The sequence below is a fragment of the Homo sapiens genome, chromosome 10 (genome assembly GCF_000001405.40).
Source record: "Homo sapiens chromosome 10, GRCh38.p14 Primary Assembly".
Classification (NCBI taxonomy): domain Eukaryota; kingdom Metazoa; phylum Chordata; class Mammalia; order Primates; family Hominidae; genus Homo; species Homo sapiens.
The window spans coordinates 193,819-212,542 of NC_000010.11; the positions used below are offsets into that span (position 1 = coordinate 193,819).

General features: G+C 35.4%; 1 protein-coding gene across 38 annotated transcripts in view; it reads left to right on the plus strand.

The window, feature by feature from the left end:
- ZMYND11 (zinc finger MYND-type containing 11) overlaps positions 1-18,724 on the plus strand; it is a 124,550-nt gene that overhangs the window by 63,731 nt on the left and 42,095 nt on the right. For 33 of the 38 annotated variants that reach the window (NR_163254.2, NM_001370103.2, NM_001370104.2 and 30 more), the window contains one exon: positions 16,071-16,230. The exons of 1 other annotated variant lie outside the window; for it this stretch is intronic. Coding sequence is in view for 36 of the 37 variants with exons in the window: in NM_001370103.2 (NP_001357032.1) it covers positions 16,071-16,230 (160 nt within the window). In the remaining variant the exon portion in view is untranslated. Of the gene's footprint in view, positions 1-4,092; positions 4,188-16,070; positions 16,231-18,724 lie in introns of all 38 variants that reach the window. 4 more of the 38 variants (NM_001330057.3, NM_001370112.2, NM_001370123.2 and 1 more) reach the window with 1 other exon arrangement.

The window sequence follows — 18,724 nt, forward strand, 5'->3', positions numbered from 1 at the left end:
GGAAACATATTATTTTCCATGATAATCTTTTCTTGGTTAGCATGTTTTGTGATTCATTTGCTATGTATATTGGTAGTTCATTTGTTTTCATTGCTGAGTAGTATTTCATTGTGTGGATATACCACAAATTAAAAAATTCATTAATCTACTGGAGGGATATTTGGGGTGGTTTTTTTTTAGTGGGGAGATAGGGTCTCACCCTGTTAACCAGGATGGAGTGCAATAGTACAATCTCAGCTCACTACAGCCTCAACCTCCTGGGCTCAAGCAATCCTCCCAATTCAGCCTCTCGAGTAGCTGGGACTACAAGTGGATGCCACCACGCCTGGCTAATTTTTGAATTTTTTTTTTGGTAGAGTCGGGGTTTCTTCATGTTGCCCAGGCTGGTCTCGAACTCCAGGGCTCAGGCGATCTACCCACCTCAGCCTCCCAAAGTGCTGGGACCCAGGCTGGTCTCGAACTCCTGGGCTCAGGCAGACTACCCACCTCAGCCTCCCAAAGTGCTGGGACTACAGGTGTGAGCCACCACGCCTGGCTAGTGTTTTCCATCAGGAGGCAATTATGGCAAAACTACAATATCCTTTCATGTACAGGTGTAGGCATACGTTTTGAGAACTACCTAGGAGTGGAATTGCTAGGCTATGTGATAAGTGTATGTTTAACTTTATTAGAAATGGCAAAACTATTATCCAAAGTGACTGTTTTACATTTCCAGCTGCAATCTATGAGAGTTCCAAATTTTCCACTTTCTCTCCAACACCTGGTATTGTCAGTTTTTAAAAGTTCGAGTCATTCCGCTCGATTTATACTAGCATCTCATGGTGGTTGAAATTTGCATTTCCCTGATACAAGCATATTTTAATGTGCTTACTGACCAATTATAACTTCTTTCACAAAGTATTCAAATCCTTTGCCCATTTTTTTATGGAGTTAGTTTATTTCAGTATTACTGAAGTGTTATAGAGCTCTATATATATTCCAGATACAAGGTCGCTCACAGACCTGCATGTCTAGAGTTCTGGAGGGATGTAATGGAGGAAATGAGGAACAATCAACATTTATAGAGATACTGGCTAAAAACTTTCTGAAATTATTGAAAGGTACTAATACTCATTCCAGGAAGCCCATTGCAGACCAAATTTAACATGATATCCACATTTAGCTGTATTGTTTAAAAACTGCAGTATTTACTAAGGGGAAAGAGAAGATCTTAAGTGTTGCCAATAGATTTTTTATGAGACATCGTGTATACAGATGTGGTAGTTAGACTCACAAACTGACTTCTGAACTGCAATACTGGAATACTGCAAAACTGAAATAATAGCTTCAGTGTGTGTTAAGAGACAGTAACTCTCAGCCTAGATTTATTTACCTTTCAAGGAGGAGGGAGATTCAAATAAAGACTTTTGTAGACAAATACAATCTGAGAGAAAAGAAGTTCTCAGTGGCTAACGTCAGGCAGAAAAAAATGATCTCAAGTGAAAGTTCTGAAATACAAGAACGAATAATGAGCAAAGACTTGATAAATATGTGTTTAAAATTAAAACATTAACTGTAAAAAATAAAAATAATGTTCAAGTTGTGAAAAAAATTAGGCTGGTGCCACCATAATAGTGATCATTCACAGTAGAATGGATAGTCATATATTTCTATAACAGACTATTATACTACAGTAAAAATAAACTATAGCCTCACACATCAATATGGGTTAATTTCAGATACATAATATTAAGAAAGTAATCAAATTACAAAAGAATACATGCAGTATGATTCCATTTCTGTAAACTTCAAAAACAGACAACACTGCACAGCATGTTTTTAAGGGATAGGCATACATAGGGGCCAATAGCGTGAAGACACAGAAGGGGAAATGGTGAACACAAAATTAAGGACAGTGGTAACCAGCTGTGGGGGTGAGTGCCACCAGGATGGGCACATTCTAGGGGCTTTTGTCAGAGTTGGTTTCTGCTTTCTTTCCTAACATAGGAGGTGATTTAACTGGTGTTTGTCTTGTTCTTCACACTACACATATTTTAAAATAATTTCTTATATGTGTAATTTCTAAATAGAAAAATTTAAACCAAGAAGAAGTAAATGGGAGGCATGGAAGTTTGTTGGGGAAAATAGATGACACAGAAGGGTAAGGACAGCGGGTCATATAACTGAGAAGGATTAATTGTTCTGCATTGTCTAATCACTGTTGTACTGTTCCCTGATGACGTATATCTCAATCACAGTCAGGTCTATTGATGACCCATTCCACTGTTTTAGGTAATTCATTTCATTCAGCAGTAATTATCATAATTTAAGTCAGCTGTTTCTTTTTGGCTATTTCTCTTTTCTTCTACTGAAGACTTTTCTGTGCCAGATTATCAAAATGCAAAGAATATCCTAATCACATGGAAGTTACATTATTGACATGCTGTTCGCTTCTAAACATTTCTGGTAATACTACGGAAAATTTTTTCTGCTAAGTATTGTTGTAAGTAGAATTCTATTCAGTGTTATCAAGAGGAATTTTATATCGAAGTGAAAGAGAAGACCTAGTTATTTGGCTTTTAATTCTTTTTCTCCAACAAACTGGATAAAGTATATAATTTTATTATGACCATTTTTTATAATCGAGTTAAAAATGAAAATGGAAGTTTTTAAGATGTATATAATTTGAAAATACATGATATTACAATTTTTAACTACACAACTTATTTTGAAGGAAAATCCATTCAACAAAATTAGTAGGTTATACATCATAAAATTTGATAATCGTTGAAATTTTGTCTTAGAGTTGTGTTAATATAGATTGTGTACTAATATACTAAGAAGCATTGTACAAATAAAGTTAGATTTAGTTTGGGGCTAGTAAATGAATATTAAAAAGGAAAGTATAACATTTTAAATACTGGAATTCAATTTTAATATAAAAATTTGAAACATCCTGTTTCATTGTAAGACATTGATTAATTCATGTTTTCAACTGGCAAACAGAGAAAAAGGAGGGAAGAGAATGTCTGAAACTGGGGTAAGAGTAAAAGGGGAACTATTAATAGTTCTGCCAGTACAACATGTAAATGCAACAGTCCAGGAAGCACAGTCCCCCTTTCATCATGAAGAAAGAATGGAAGGTGGAGTGCTTTTAGTTCACGTGTGTGCCCACGTGCGCATTGTATTCATGTATGTGTATCAATACATACGCATGGAAGGTGGAGTGCTTTTAGTTCACGTGTGTGCCCACGTGCGCAATGTGTTCATGTATGTGTATCAATACATACGCATGGAAGGTGGCGTGCTTTTAGTTCACGTGTGTGCCCACGTGCACATTGTATTCATGTATGTGTATCAATACATACGCGTGGAAAGTGGAGTGCTTTTAGTTCACGTGTGTGCCCACGTGCGCATTGTGTTCATGTATGTGTATCAATACATACGCATGGAAGGTGGAGTGCTTTTAGTTCATGTGTGTGCCCACGTGCGCATTGTATTCATGTATGTGTATCAATACATACACATGGTATATTTCATTGGAACTTCTCTTTTTTTTCAAAAATATTTTGGGGACAATTAGAAAAAAGATACAGAATAGAAGAAGGTTATATATATCAGAAGGGGATGAGCAGGATGAGGAAGAGGAAAGCAAAGTTTAGTATATGAAATAGAGCCACAAGTAAGGCTAATATAAGAAAGACTTCTATACCTCTATAAAGTCCAACAGCCTGCTGAGGATGTGTTGCAGATTTGCCTTTCCGTTTTCTAGTAGCTAATGCAAAGGAGAAGCCTCAACATTTTAGTAATGTCCATAAAGCAAATCAGTTGCCTAGGTAAAGTGTAGCTACTTCTAATAGTACTAAAACCAGAAAGAAATCTTTAGGGTTTTCAGAAAGTTAACCATTGTCTAAGTTGCAAAGCTCGTGTCAGGTGGCAGAGTGTAGTCCTATGTCTTGAGAAGTCATGGTTGAGATTTCAGAGGCAATTTTAATTGAAATGTTATTGTTATGTAATAAACAATATGCCAAAACAGTACTCTGCTGTTACTTTTACTTTTTTCCAACTACAAAGGAAAGTGACTATCAAACTTACAATATATTTCAATTTCAGATGTGAAACAACTACATTATTCTTGAACCTATGGTGATTTTTACATCATTACACAGATATGTCATTTTCATTAGTTGTATCATTGTTATAAACTGGTAAGTAAGTTTTTAAAAAGTTGGTAAAATTTGGGGATAGGTCTAATTTAATAATGTAAAAAGATTCAAGCAAGCTGTAAAATATATAATTTATAATGGCCAAAATTGAGATTTTAAATTAAAAATATTTCCTTTTTATAAAATGGAACCAAAGTTAATAAAATAAGTAGTTATATATGTCACAGTAAAAATGTTATTTTCCCCCAAATGAAAACTTTGCCTGTTATTTGAAGGGGTATCTAGGTCTCTACCTAGCTTTAAAATTACTAAATGTTTTACTTTACCAGTTTAAATATGGTCACTGCATAAATAATAGAGATCAAAATCTAAAGTAATTATTTACAGTGTAACATTTGGGGTAATCATAATGGAGAACATTTTTAAAAAAAAAGTATAATACCTTTACTGTTAACAAAAATATAATTGAAAGGAAGGGATTTTTTGGTTAATCCCCATAAAATCTTTACACTGTATCTATATTCAGCAAATACTGTAAATTATTTTTAATTCAGAAATAAGGGAAATTAAGACTCAACAGTTTTGATTAAATAGAAATTATGAAAAGGGTTCATATTTTAGTGTTATGAAAACTAAAATATTTCACCTCTCGTTGGCATTTTTCCTAGAGTCACTGGAGGTCCATAAGAAGTATTTCTGTGCTTGATATTTAGACAGTGGGACAGAACTGAAAAGAAGGATTATTACACTCTAGCCTAGGACTTTACATACAAATAGGTACTTGCATATTGCATGTTCTTTCAACTCCCATGTGAGTGTTTTTATTAATTGTGTGCCATATATCTATTTGAAATATAGATTAGAGAGATGCAGGCGCTAGGATGATGATGTCTGGTGGACCACCAATTTCACATCACCTTAATCAAATCAGGAATTGACATGATTGAAGCTGGGCTTTTAGTGTGTATGCACACCAAGCTCTTTCCAGGTTAGCTTTAAGCAGAGTCTTTCAGGATCACAACCTAGTCCGTGGGTTCTTGCCAAGGCTCCCTTTCTTGGTGCACCTGAATTACAGTTTTTGTCTCCCTGTCCCCATGAGATTGTCAAAAGCTCTGCCTAGCTTCTGAGCCTCTCACTTGCCTTTTCCAGAATTGGCAGATGCTGCTAAATGAATTATTTTTTTAGTATTTTCTTTGGTTTTTCTAGTTTTCAATGGAAGGATTGATCTGAACAACCCAATAAATTATTATTGGTAGCAGAACTCTCTCTCTCTCCCTTCCCCCCTCGCTCGCTCTCTCTCCCCATTCCCCTTCCCATCCCTCCCTCCCTCACTCCCTCCCTCTCTTCCTCCCTCCCTCCCTCCCTCTCTCCCTCCGTCTCTGTCTCTTTCTTTCTGTGTATGCATGTACGTATGTATATGCATATATAATTTTAAATCTTATCCTTATTATATACACTGTGAGCATTTTCTCATACCATTGTTGTTTTTCTTGGAGACAGTGTCGCCTAGGCAGAAATGCAGTGGTGCAATCACAGCTCTCTTGCAGTCTTGACTTTCTGGGCTTAAGCGGTCCTCCTGTGTCAGCCTCCTCCTTGACTGGGACTACAGGTGCATGCCACCGTGCTTGGCTAATTTTTTAAAATTTTTTTTGTAGAGACGAGGTCTTACTATGCTGCCCAGCTGGTATCAAAATCCTGGGCTAAAGTGACCCTCCTGTCTCAGCCTCCTAAAGTGCTGGGATTATAGGTCTGAGCCACTGTGGCCTGCCACAACATTGTTTTTTGAAACATTAATTTTATTAACTGCATAGTATTCTATCAAGTGGATATACTTTAACTTATTTTACTAGTATTAACATTTAGTTCCTTTTTTTAACTATAAAATTTTATGATGTGGAAAACATTTTTTTCTTTTTTTTGAGACAGGGTCTTGTTCTGTCATCCAGGCTGGAGTGCAGTGGTGTGATCACGACTCACTGCAGCCTCTACCTCCTGGGCTCAAGCAATCCTCCCACCTCAGCCTCCTGAGTAGTTGGGACTACAGGTGTGCACTACCATGCCTGGCTAAATAAGAAAATACCTCAGATTTTCTAAAAAGGTCACCACTTCCCTGGCCCGTAGGAATGATGAATACACACCATTTCTTTTTCTAAAACACTCTAACAGAGGTTTTGGCAGGGAGGGAAGGGTTCAAGTTAGGGTTAGCTGAGACTACAGACATGTGCTGCCATGCCTGGCTAGGGTGTGTGTGTGTGTGTGTGTATAATATATATAAAAATATATATATAATATAAAATATATAATTATATATAATATATAATATGTATAAAATGTATATTATATATAATATATAACATATAATATGTATTATATATAACATATATACATATATGTGTATATATGTGTATATATGTATATATAACAATATATATTATATATACACCCTATATATATAATAATATATGTTATAATAAATATGTGTGTATATATTTATTTTTTAGAGACAGGGTCTTGCTGTATTGCCCAGGCTGATCTTGAACTGCTGAGCTCAAGTGATCTCACCTTGGCCTCCCAAAGTGCTGAGATTACAAGCATGAGCCACCACTTCCGGCTGGAAGCATTTTTCTATTAAGACATAAGTCTTGCCCCATCTCAAGTTATTTACTTAGAAATAGAATGGCTGTCAAGTGATAGGATTATCTGTAAGGCTGTTGATGTGTAATGCTGGACTGCTTTCTAGAAAGTGCTTTCAATAGCAGTGTGTTGAGGGTGGCTGTCTTGATGCCTCTTTACTACATTGAGAATAATTATTTTAAATATCTTGCTGATTTAAGAAGGAAAAATTGTTTTCCTGTTTTAGTTTCGCATTTTTAGAATATAAACTTTTTGTCATATTTGTCATAAATGTTTTTCCATTTTATTGTTTTCTTTTAATTTACAAAATGGAAATTAGTGATAATTGCTTCAGAGGCCAGAAAAAATGAGTTTCAGATGTTTGTGTCATAAAGAAATTCAACATTTCTAATCTAGTCAGGTATTTTGCATCTCCTCCTGTTATACTTCCATAGCTTTTATACTCATAAAGTCTTTTGACAGCAAGATACTAGATCAATATTCATTTAAATTTCTATCTCAAATTTTATGATTCTGATGTTTTCAGTCCTCTGAGCCAGTACACTGAGCCAGTAGGGGGCCATAAGGTACTGAAATTGGGGGGCAGTCCTAAGTCTTAAGGTGTTTATCCAGATTACCTAGAATACACTTAAAATAAATTTATGTTACCATCAACATTGTAAAAGGCCTCTGGACTCCACAGTGGTGTGAACTATTTATGAGGGACAAGAAGACATCACAGGCATTTGTTATGTTTTTCATTGATAGAAAACACATCACTGCATTCTGTGGTGGTTCGTTCTTCCACTGGTTGTGGCTGTTTTTATACTGTTTTTATTAATGTGCTCATTTTCCAATATATTCATTTCAAATGAGATGGCAGAAGTTTCTGAGATTGAATCATTGTTAGAAGGCTTAAAAGTAGGTAATTACTTTCAGGAAATTATGACTCATGAGATTTCTTACTTTTGTAAAAATGTTAAATAATCAGTGGCTGTTACCATGAAATACACACACACACACACACACATTATATATATATGTATTCGTCTTGGAACTTTCAGAATGATCTCGGGGAGGGGATCATCTCAGGCCTGTGGCTTGGAGGCACTTGAGTACTCAGCGTCCCATGGAAGCTCGCACCCTGGGAGAGAAGGGAGCGCTCTGGGGTGCCAGATGGTGGAAAGCTGTGGGAATGCAGTGGGGTGCGAGAAAATGAGGAGGAAGTTATTGAAAAAGTTCAGAGAAATTGAATGTATACTTTAATATTAGACATTTACATGCCATTTCCTGACCTGCGGTATTAAGTGAAATTAAAATAGCAGACTAGAAGGCCACTTATCAGTGTATCTCAAACCCAAATTGTTCTGTTTTCTCTTTATTGGAAGAAGAAAAGTTCTTGTTATAGATTAAGCAGTTATAAGAAAATGAGAGACCTGGAGTATCCTTTATCTGAATGCTAACAAATATGTTTTCACATGATGCAAACCTGCCTGAGTACTTGATGATCTAAGAAAATGAATAATGAATTGGGACCCATTGTTACATTTGAGGTATTGTGTAAATCAGCCTTCAGAGTTTATTATTAATTCCAGAAAATCTTAAGCCTTATCAAATATATTTGGCCTGTAATACGCAGTAGGATCACAGTACTCCTCTAGTTACTTAATATTTACAGTGTTCTGGCTCGGTTCTAACCTTTTGCTTTACTTTTGAAGAAAAATAGGTATGAATTTCTTTGAACTTATTTCTTAAGAACATAACAATATATATTTTTAAAGAATAGAAGAGTGAGCAGGAAAACATAAATTCATCAGGTTTAGACATTACTTTATGAGCTTGTATTTCTTGACACAACCATTATAAATAATGAACACGTTAGCCCTTAGATGACACTTCTAATATATACTAGATCAGTTATTCTTTATTCTAATTTGCCTAAACTCAAAACTTTCCATCCAGAAAACAAAGTTATTGACTCCTTTGTTAGATTCTCAAGGTGCATCAGTATAGGAGGAAGCACTTAGTTTTGCGTTGTTGTCATTCGTGTGTGCTAGTTGCGACTCATCCTTCAGCCATACTCTCTCCTGACCTTCATCTGTGAAAGGGCTCCCTCATTCCAACCTGCTCTTCATGGCATACATCTTTTTTAGTCCCTCAAAGACCAAAGATAGAGAACGAAATGACCAGAATGTATTGTTTTCACTGACTTTATTTCACTTTAAAATAAGAAAGTTGAGCCCAACATGCTAGGACTAACAACAAAGCAGACCTCTTCTTGTGTTGTGTGTTAATCCATGCTCTATGGTTGTTTCTTAGTGGCTAAGAAAACCCATTGTGTGGTGAAAGTCTGTGGATAAAAATATATCAAGGAATAATAAAATGCAGTGCCATTAAAAAAAAACACTTAGCAAACTGGAAAGAAATGTCCTCAATAAAAGTTATGCATCAAAATCCTATAGCAAGCATCATATTTGCATTTATATTTATCATTTTATATTTATAAGATATGTTTACCAATAAGCATCCTCAAGAGTCATGTTTAATGGTGAACTGTTATAAGAATCCCCTACAAAATCTAAAACAAGATAAGGATACCCACTGTTACTACGTATGGTGTGCACTTTACTAGAAGTCCTAATCAGCTTGATGAGAAACAAGTCCAATAGAATTTGCAGACAAACCTGAAACTATAAAGAGAGGTAAGCAGACTGCCCAATAAATACCAGCAACCACCAACCAGGAAATACTATATAAAATAAAATTCCATTTTAAAAAAAAACAGTAAATGTAAAATATCTAGGAAAAACCCAAAAGATATGTACAAATCTTATGGATACAAATTATAAAACCATATTAAAGACATAGAAAAATATATAAATAAATGAGCATATGTACCAATTTCATCAGTGGATATTCTTAACTTGGTTATGGAGATTTAACTATTTTTGTGGATTTTGGCAAACTGACTTTAAAATTACTGTGGATGAATATGGGACCAAGAAGAGCCACAATGAGTCTGAAAAAGAAGGAGAGGAACTCCCTAAGGCTGGCAAGCTTACATGGGAGCAGGAAACTTGTATGTTCTGGAGGAATGGTAAATGGTAGCTACTTTTTTAAAAGTAAAAATCGTCTAGCTAATAGATACAAATGAAATTCCAAGGGGCATACTGTGGAAAAAAGTCTTCTCCCATCCCTTGTTCCCTGAGCCCCTCTCTGCAGTTTCTGGAAGGAATCAAGCTCTAGAACTCTTTTGTGCACATCAGTTATACAGTGTTTTGAAAAATAGTAGTGTCTTATACCACGATTTTTTTAAAAAAATGTAATATAGAGCTTATGTCATCTTAACACCTATAACATTGCTTCATTTCTTGTGAAAACTGTGTAATAATCCTTGGTACAGTTATCAGTTATTTAACCAGTCCCCTAAGATATATATTTACATTATTTCTAATTGTTTCTTGCTGCCAGCAATACTAAAATGAATTTCCTTCCTTGTATGTGTGTTATTTCACACATGCTGAACAATTGTGTGGTTTTGTTGTCCATATTTAAATCTGATCTATCTATAATTTATAGATACAATCTAAGGTAGGGCTCCCTCTCCTTTCCTAGGTTAGATAACCAGTTGTCCCAATGTCCTGCATTGATTAATCAGTCTTTCTACCAATAATGTGAAATGCCACTTTTACTGTAATGAAAATTCCGATTTGTTCATCTTTTTTCTTTGCATCAGTAGAATTTCAGAATTTACACAAATTTTGTCATTCTATTTCTTCCTGGAAATTTTATTTTTCTTACTGTTGTTGTAAATAATTGAGTTTTGGTCTTCTTTTCAATCACCTGTCTTTTTGGTTTCTGTATATGAATGCTGTTAGTAAATTAGTTTGTACCCAAAGAATTTATTGAACTATATACTTAATTTAAATTACTTAAAAAAGCATATCAGCTGATTTTCTTGGGTTTTCTAGATACATGATTTGCAAACTCCTTATCAACTTTTATAACTAGTCCAGTTATGTTGGTTATTACCTTTGCAGAGTGTTAAGGAAAAGTGACAACCACAGACATCTTTGAATATTCTTGATTAGGTTACAGAAGTATTTACTCATTCTTGTTTTGTTAAGGGCTAGGTATTGAATTTTCCTAAATGCCTTTCAACGTGTTATCAAAATCTTCATGATAGTTTATTTTTGACCTGTTAATGGAGTAAACTATATTTTTAAATGTCTTCATATTAAATCTTCCTTCAATTCCTAGAATTAGTATATTATTTTGACATTGAATATATTAATATTTATATATTTGTATTTAATATTAGATTATATTCAAATATTTTATGTAGGATTTTTATATCACTATTTCTACAGGTCACTGATTTTCTTTGTCTATGCTGTTTTGTGGGGTTTTCTTACCATTACATGCTAGATTCCTTGCTTTCCTATGATTGTGCACTGGAAGAGTTTGAGTCTCATTGGAGTTACCTGGTCATTATAAGTTTGATAGAAGTAACTTACGAATATGTCTGTAGCTGATGTTTTTCTGGGGAAGCTCTTCGCAAACTTCTTCTATTTATTTCTTTGGAAATTGGCCTTTTAAAGGTTCTGTTTTATTCTGTGTTCAGGTTTTGGTTATTTATATTTTCTTATAAAATCATAGTGTTTATATTTTTACACAGAACTGAACAAAGTAGTTGCTTCTATTTTAATTTCCTTTTTATATATAGCTGTCTCCCTGTAGCATTTTTTTGTATGTTTGTGCTTTGTGTCTTCACTGTGAATTAGATTAGGTAATGATACCTCTTTTATTTTTCCCTAAGAAGGAGTTCTTGGGCCAGGCATGGTAGCTCATGCCTGTAATCCTAGCACTTTGAGAGGCTGAGGTGGGAGGATGACTTGAGGCTGAGAGTTTGAGACCAGCCAGGGCAACATAGTGAGACCCTGTTTCTACAAAAAATTAAAAAGTTAGTCAGGTGTAGTGGTGTGTGGCTGTAATCCCAGCTTCTCAGGAGGCTGAGGTGGGAGGAGCACTTGAGGATGGGAGGTCAAGCCTGCAGTGAGCCATGATTGTGCTATTGTACTGCAGCCTGGGTGGCAGAGTGAGACCCTGTACAAAAAATAAAAAATAAAAAAAAAGGAGTTCCTGGATTCTACACATTTTCTTTTTTAACAGCATTGCTTTAGCTTTTCATTTAGATCTTTTGTAATTTTTAAGTAACTTTTTTTTTTTGACTCGGTGGTTGTTTATGAGGGTTTTCTGGTTTTGTTATTAATATCTGGTTTAATTTCACCATGATTAACAATGGCGTGTATAACTTTTGGAATCTCTTCAAGTCATCTTTGTGGTGATTTTGTGGTCAGTTGTTATGTATGTCTTCTGGACCTATTAAAGGTGTTTTTTTGGTGTCAGGATAAATCAATAGACCTGTCCTAAGGTTGTTTTTTTTTTTTTTTTGTTTCAGAATAAATCAACTAGATAAATAATCAACAAATAAAAAATCAGGCCGGGCGCGGTGGCTCACGCCTGTAATCCCGGCACTTTGGGAGGCCGAGGCGGGTGGATCACCTGAGGTCACGACTTCAAGACTAGCCTGACCAACATGGTGAAACCCCATCTCTACTAAAAATACAAAAATTAGCCAGGCGTGGTGGCCAGCACCTGTAGTCCCAGCTACTTGGGAGGCTGAGTCAGGAGAATCACTTGAACCCAGGAGGCAGAGGTTGCAGTGAGCCGAGATCATGCCACTGTGCTCCAGCCTGGGCAACAGAGTGAGATTCCATCTCAAAAATAATAATAAATCAATAGCTCTGTCTTATTAGTTAGGTCTTCTATAGCCATACTTAGTTTTTTGTCCAGTTGACTTTTTTGTGAACTGAGAGAATTGAATTAAAATCTCATAATTTTATATTTCTGTCAGTATTTCTTTTATTTCCTATAGTTGTTTGCATTATAACTATGCTCTGTCTTTTTTAAGAATGATTTTTGCCTTGTTTTCCAAATCCTATACACTTCCATCTTGACCCCTGCTTCATTTAGGTAGCATTTTTATGATATGCTTTTTCCCATTTGTTTTCAGTCTTTCTGAGTCACTGTTTTTAAATTGTTGAGTTTAGCCCATTTGTATTTACTAAAAAGACAAACATGTCTGGTTTTGGTCTTCTCATACGTACTACGCCTTCTGTTTTTATCACTTTATCACTACGTAACACATTTTCTTTGAGTTTCTTCAGATAGCTTAGAAATGTTTTAATTTTTATTTTTTTAATTTTTTTATTATTATTATACTTTAAGTTTTAGGGTACATGTGCACAATGTGCAGGTTTCATATGTATACATGTGCCATGCTGGTGTGCTGCACCCATTAACTCATCATTTAGCATTAGGTATATCTCCTAATGCTATGCCTCCCCACTCCCCCGACCCCACAACAGTCCCCAGAGTGTGATGTTCCCCTTCCTGTGTCCATGTGTTCTCATTGTTCAATTCCCATCTATGAGTGAGAACATGCAGTGTTTGGTTTTTTGTCCTTGCGATAGTTTACTGAGAATGATGATTTCCAATTTCATCCATGTCCCTACAAAGGACATGTACTCATCATTTTTTATGGCTGCATAGTATTCCATGGTGTATATGTGCCACATTTTCTTAATCCAGTCTATCACTCATGGACATTTGGGTTGGTTCCAAGTCTTTGCTATTGTGAATAGTGCCGCAGTAAACATACATGTGCATGTGTCTTTATAGCAGCATGATTTATAGTCCTTTGGGTATATACCCACTAATGGGATGGCTGGGTCAAATGGTATTTCTAGTTCTAGATCCCTGGGGAATCGCCACACTGTCTTCCACAATGGTTGAACTAGTTTACAGTCCCACCAACAGTGTAAAAGTGTTCCTGTTTCTCCACATCCTCTCCAGCACCTGTTGTTTCCTGACTTTTTAATGACTGCCATTCTAACTGGTGTGAGATGGTATCTCATTGTGGTTTTGATTGGCATTTCTCTGATGGCAAGGAATGTGAAGGACCTCTTCAAGGAGAACTACAAACCACTGCTCAATGAAATAAAAGAGGATACAAACAAATGGAAGAACATTCCATGCTCATGGAGAGGAAGAATCAATATCGTGAAAATGGCCATACTGCCCAAGGTAATTTATAGATTCAATGCCATCCCCATCAAGCTACCAATGACTTTCTTCACAGAATTGGAAAAAACTACTTTAAAGTTCATATGGAACCAAAAAAGAGCCCACATCGCCAAGTCAATCCTAAGCCAAAAGAATAAAGCCAGAGGCATCACGCTACCTGACTTCAAACTATACCACAAGGCTACAGTAACCAAAACAGCATGGTACTGGTACCAAAACAGACATATAGATCAATGGAACAGAACGGAGCCCTCAGAAATAATGCCGCATATCTACAACTATCTGATCTTTGACAAACCTGAGAAAAACAAGCAATGGGGAAAGGATTCCTTATTTAATAAATGGTGCTGGGAAAACTGGCTAGCCATATGTAGAAAGCTGAAACTGGATCCCTTCCTTACACCTTATACAAAAATTAATTCAAGATGGATTAAAGACTTAAACGTTTGACCTAAAACCATAAAAACCCTAGAAGAAAACCTAGGCCTTACCATTCAGGACATAGGCATGGGCAAGGACTTCGTGTCTAAAACACCAAAAGCAATGGCAACAAAAGCCAAAATTGACAAATGGGATCTAATTAAAGAGCTTCTGCACAGCAAAAGAAACTGCCATCAGAGTGAACAGGCAACCTACAAAATGGGAGAAAATTTTCACAACCTACTCATCTGACAAAGGGCTAATATCCAGAATCTACAGTGAACTCAAACAAATTTACAAGAAAAAAACAAATAACCCCAACAAAAAGTGGACGAAGGACATGAACAGACACTTCTCAAAAGAAGACGTTTATGCAGCCAAAAGACACATGAAAAAATGTTTTTTGTTTTAAGGGTGATGTTTATATATTCAGATAGTGCACTCAGTCCCTGAGATAGTTGTTCATGACTCTGCACTGTGGGCGTCGAGGACATTAGCACATTTTCCCCTTCAACATTGCTTGTTCTGTCAATGCAGTTAACAGAAGGACTAAGACAGAAAGAGAGGTGGGAATTATGATCAGAGAACAGAACGTTAGCCCTGACAGTGGCAACATCTGTAACAATGAGGTGGAGAAGGAAGAAGGTGGGAGCTAGTCCAAACATGCTAGTTTTGTCACCCTTATTTCCTTGAGGACTTATGAGGCATTACTCCCCTGACTTCTAGCGTGGAATGTTTCTCTGGAGAAGTCTGAGGCCAGTCTGATTTAGCTCACACTATGTTTTTTATCTGGATATCCAAAGATCTCTTTGAAGTTTAGTAGTTAACTGGAGATACAGGTAGATACATTGACATTGATGTGTGTGTGTGTGTGTATATATATATGTATATGTATATATATATATAGAGAGAGAGAGAGATCAGCGTTGAGGTTTGTTTGGAGGAGAGTGGAAAATGGCACAAATCCAACTTTATAACATTTATTTCTTTATTAAACAAAAAAGATACAAAGCAAATATGCCGAATATTAACATGAGTTGAATATAGTTGGTGAATACAAGGGAATCTGCAATGTTATTCTCAGTGATCCAGGGTGTGTCGGATATATTTCACTTTTTTGTTTTAAAAAAATACCTTGTAACGGTAAATCAGGGAATGTTTGCGTGCTTCAGTGACTCAAAGTATATTTCACTGAAAATCACGTTTTTGCCTGACTGATCACAACATGCGTCCATGCTTTCCTTATATGTTGACAAGCACTCGTGTAATTTCTAAATGTTCTCTGGTGTCATTTCCTAAGTTTTAGGTAAAAGTATTACAAAATATGTTTGTAGTTCTAAGGTCCTATGGTTGGAGATTATAAAATTCTAAATGTAGAATCTGTAGAGTAGAAGTTAGTGGTAATTGCTCCCTCTGGAGGCTAAAACTAAATGGGATGTTTGACTACAGTCTCTTAAGTGATTTATATTCGCTGATTTGGGACTATTTTGAACATATCTTGGTCTAATCATTACAGAAGAGAATTTGAGTTTAAAATAGCATGATAATTGGAAGAGTTGCGTATTGAAGACTTTTCCTTTCTTTTCTGTTTATCGTGTTCGTTCTTTATCTTGTTCTTTATCTCAACAGGACTCTCATAAATACAAGTCATAATGAAAGAAATTACCACCATTTTCTTATTTTCATTCATTTTTAGTTTTCAGTACTGAAAGATTTTTAAATTTGTTTTTCCTCTGTGTTCAGGTATATGTCTCGAGTCCACGGTATGCACCCTAAAGAGACCACCCGTCAGCTGAGCTTAGCTGTGAAAGATGGTCTTATTGTCGAAACTCTAACAGTGGGCTGCAAAGGTTCAAAAGCTGGTATTGAACAAGAAGGATATTGGTTGCCAGGAGATGAGATTGTAAGTACATTTTATTTGATAAACATAGAGATGTGAACTTTTAGCTTTTAAACATTATTTAGATACAACCTATAGAAAATCATTTTCAGAAGTTTAATATTTCATTTTAACATTTGTATCAACATTAAGGCTCTACATTGGTAGTATGGATACTTTCCTTACTAATTATTTAGGAGATGACTCACTTTTACAAAGATCCTGCTTCTCTATATATTACCTTGAATCTAAAAAAGAAAGCAAACCAAAGCTCTTTTGATGTACCCACACTTCATGGCATTCCTAAGTGTTTTCGTCAATAAATATTAGCAAAAAATGTTTCCATGCCAGATAATGTTGATGCCATCTAGACAGATAGAAGGGGATGAACCGTCTTCCTAGGGAAACAGCCTCAGTTCAGGTAGGATGGTATCACAGCCCAAAGGCAGGCTTCAGTAGGAATTTTGTGGCAGAGTACAAAGGTTCCAAACGTTAAGTTCTCCTGGCCAGTGCCTACGTTGACTAATGACAATTGCAAGTTTTGTGTACTGGAACAGAAATCAAATAGGAAAGACAGAACATTAATTCTCTTTACGTTTTTACCTAGTTCTCACTTTGACTCCTCTTTTAAATGTTGATATTTTAATCTGCTTCTCTTTCCTTTCATTATGTACCTTTAAACTCAGAGGCACATATCGAAGTACATTTTTTTCTTACGTAAAGATTGATTTCATGTGTAATATTTCTATCTTCCTACCTTATTTTATTTTGCTGTTTCTAATACCTTGATTTAAAATGTGTTAATTTTTACAAGGGAACATCATTTAAGATGATAGGTTTCAAATGTAACAGATGTGGCCAGGTGTGGTGGCTCATGCCTGTAGTCCTAGCACTTTGGAAGGCTAAAGCAGGAGGATCACTTGAGCCCAGGAGTTCAACACTAGCCTGGGCAACATAGCCCCCATCTCTACAAAAAAAAATAAAATACACAACCCCATCTCTACAAAAAAATAAAAAATTAGCTGGGTGTGGTGGCACATGCCTGTAGTACCAGATACCCAGGAGGCTGAGGTAGGAGGATCACTTGAGCCCAGGAGTTTAGGGCTGCAATGAGCTATGGTCATGCCGCTGCTGTACTGTAGCCTGGGCGACAGAGCAAGACCCTGTCTCCTAAAAAGAAAAAAAAAAATCTATCTATAGATATCTTTTTCTTAAAAAGAAAAAAAAAATCTATCTATAGATATAGATAGACATATCCCTTTCAAAAATCTATCTCTTTCTATAGATTGAGTTTGTGAAAGGGATAGATTTAGTAATTGCATACTTTGAGAGTGTTTTATCATAAATTCTCTAAAATCTAAAATTATAAAAATGACATAGAATCTTATAATTGGTTCTTTGTGGAAAAATTTTCCAAAAAGTTTGAGTTTATTTTCTTTTCTGGCTCTACAGCAGATGAGCCAGCAAACATACTAACCTGTGAAGCCTGAGAGCAGTAAACTAACTAGCAAGTGCCTGTGGGGAGGTGGTTTATAGCAACAGCTGTGATAAGGTATAAACTTAGAAAAGCTGTTCACTTCTTTAACTTTGTTTTTGTCAATTTAATCTGCACCTTCAAAGCTTCAGGAAAGAACATTCACATTTTCCAGCAACAGAAAACATGGAAGAAAAAATCTTTACTTTCACTGGTGTAATTTCATTTGTGCACTGGAAGTATTCTTGAAAAGTTAAGTGGAAATCTTTATATAAGAAGAATTTTTCTATTGAGTTGCCTTACAGAAAAGTAAAGCTTTGCTGCCAGTGAAGAAACTTAGGGTGCCAAGACATAATAAAAGTAATGTCAAGTGGTATCAGTCTATTGCCTCAGGTATTTAAAGGAGGGCCATTAATTGTTGATACCTTATTATATACTCAGAATAATCCAGATAATGTAAAATTTCTAATCTTAAAACACTTAGGAATTTATAGATAGTATAGAAGACTATAGTGATAATATCCAAGATTTGTATAGTAATTAACTAACAGTAAGTGCAACTTAATCTATAGGATTTTGGTTTGTGGATCATGTGTACATTTTTTCATAAAAGCGATTTTATTTCTCTTTACTGTTTAGATTGGTACTTTCCTATATGCTTTCTTCCTCCTCAAGTTGAAGTTTTTTTGTTTAGTTTAATTCAATAAGTCGTTAATGAGCACATTATATTTTTACCACTATATTAGGTCCTATGTTCTAATTTTTATTTTTATATGTTGTTCTTGCATATATTTATAGAATCATCCTTTTTTCTTCTGTCTAGATGAAATATTATATGTAAACCAAACATATAGTATACAGGTTTAATTCTGATTGGTTCTTTCTTGCAAACATTTTTATTCTAAAATGGCTGTATAATATAAGCACAAGTGAATATATCAAAATTGTGCCTGGTGTATAAAATATGTAAATATTTAAAATTCAGAGGTAATGTAGTTTATTAGAAAGAAGTAAGATCTCGTATGTCACAAATAAACAGGGGTT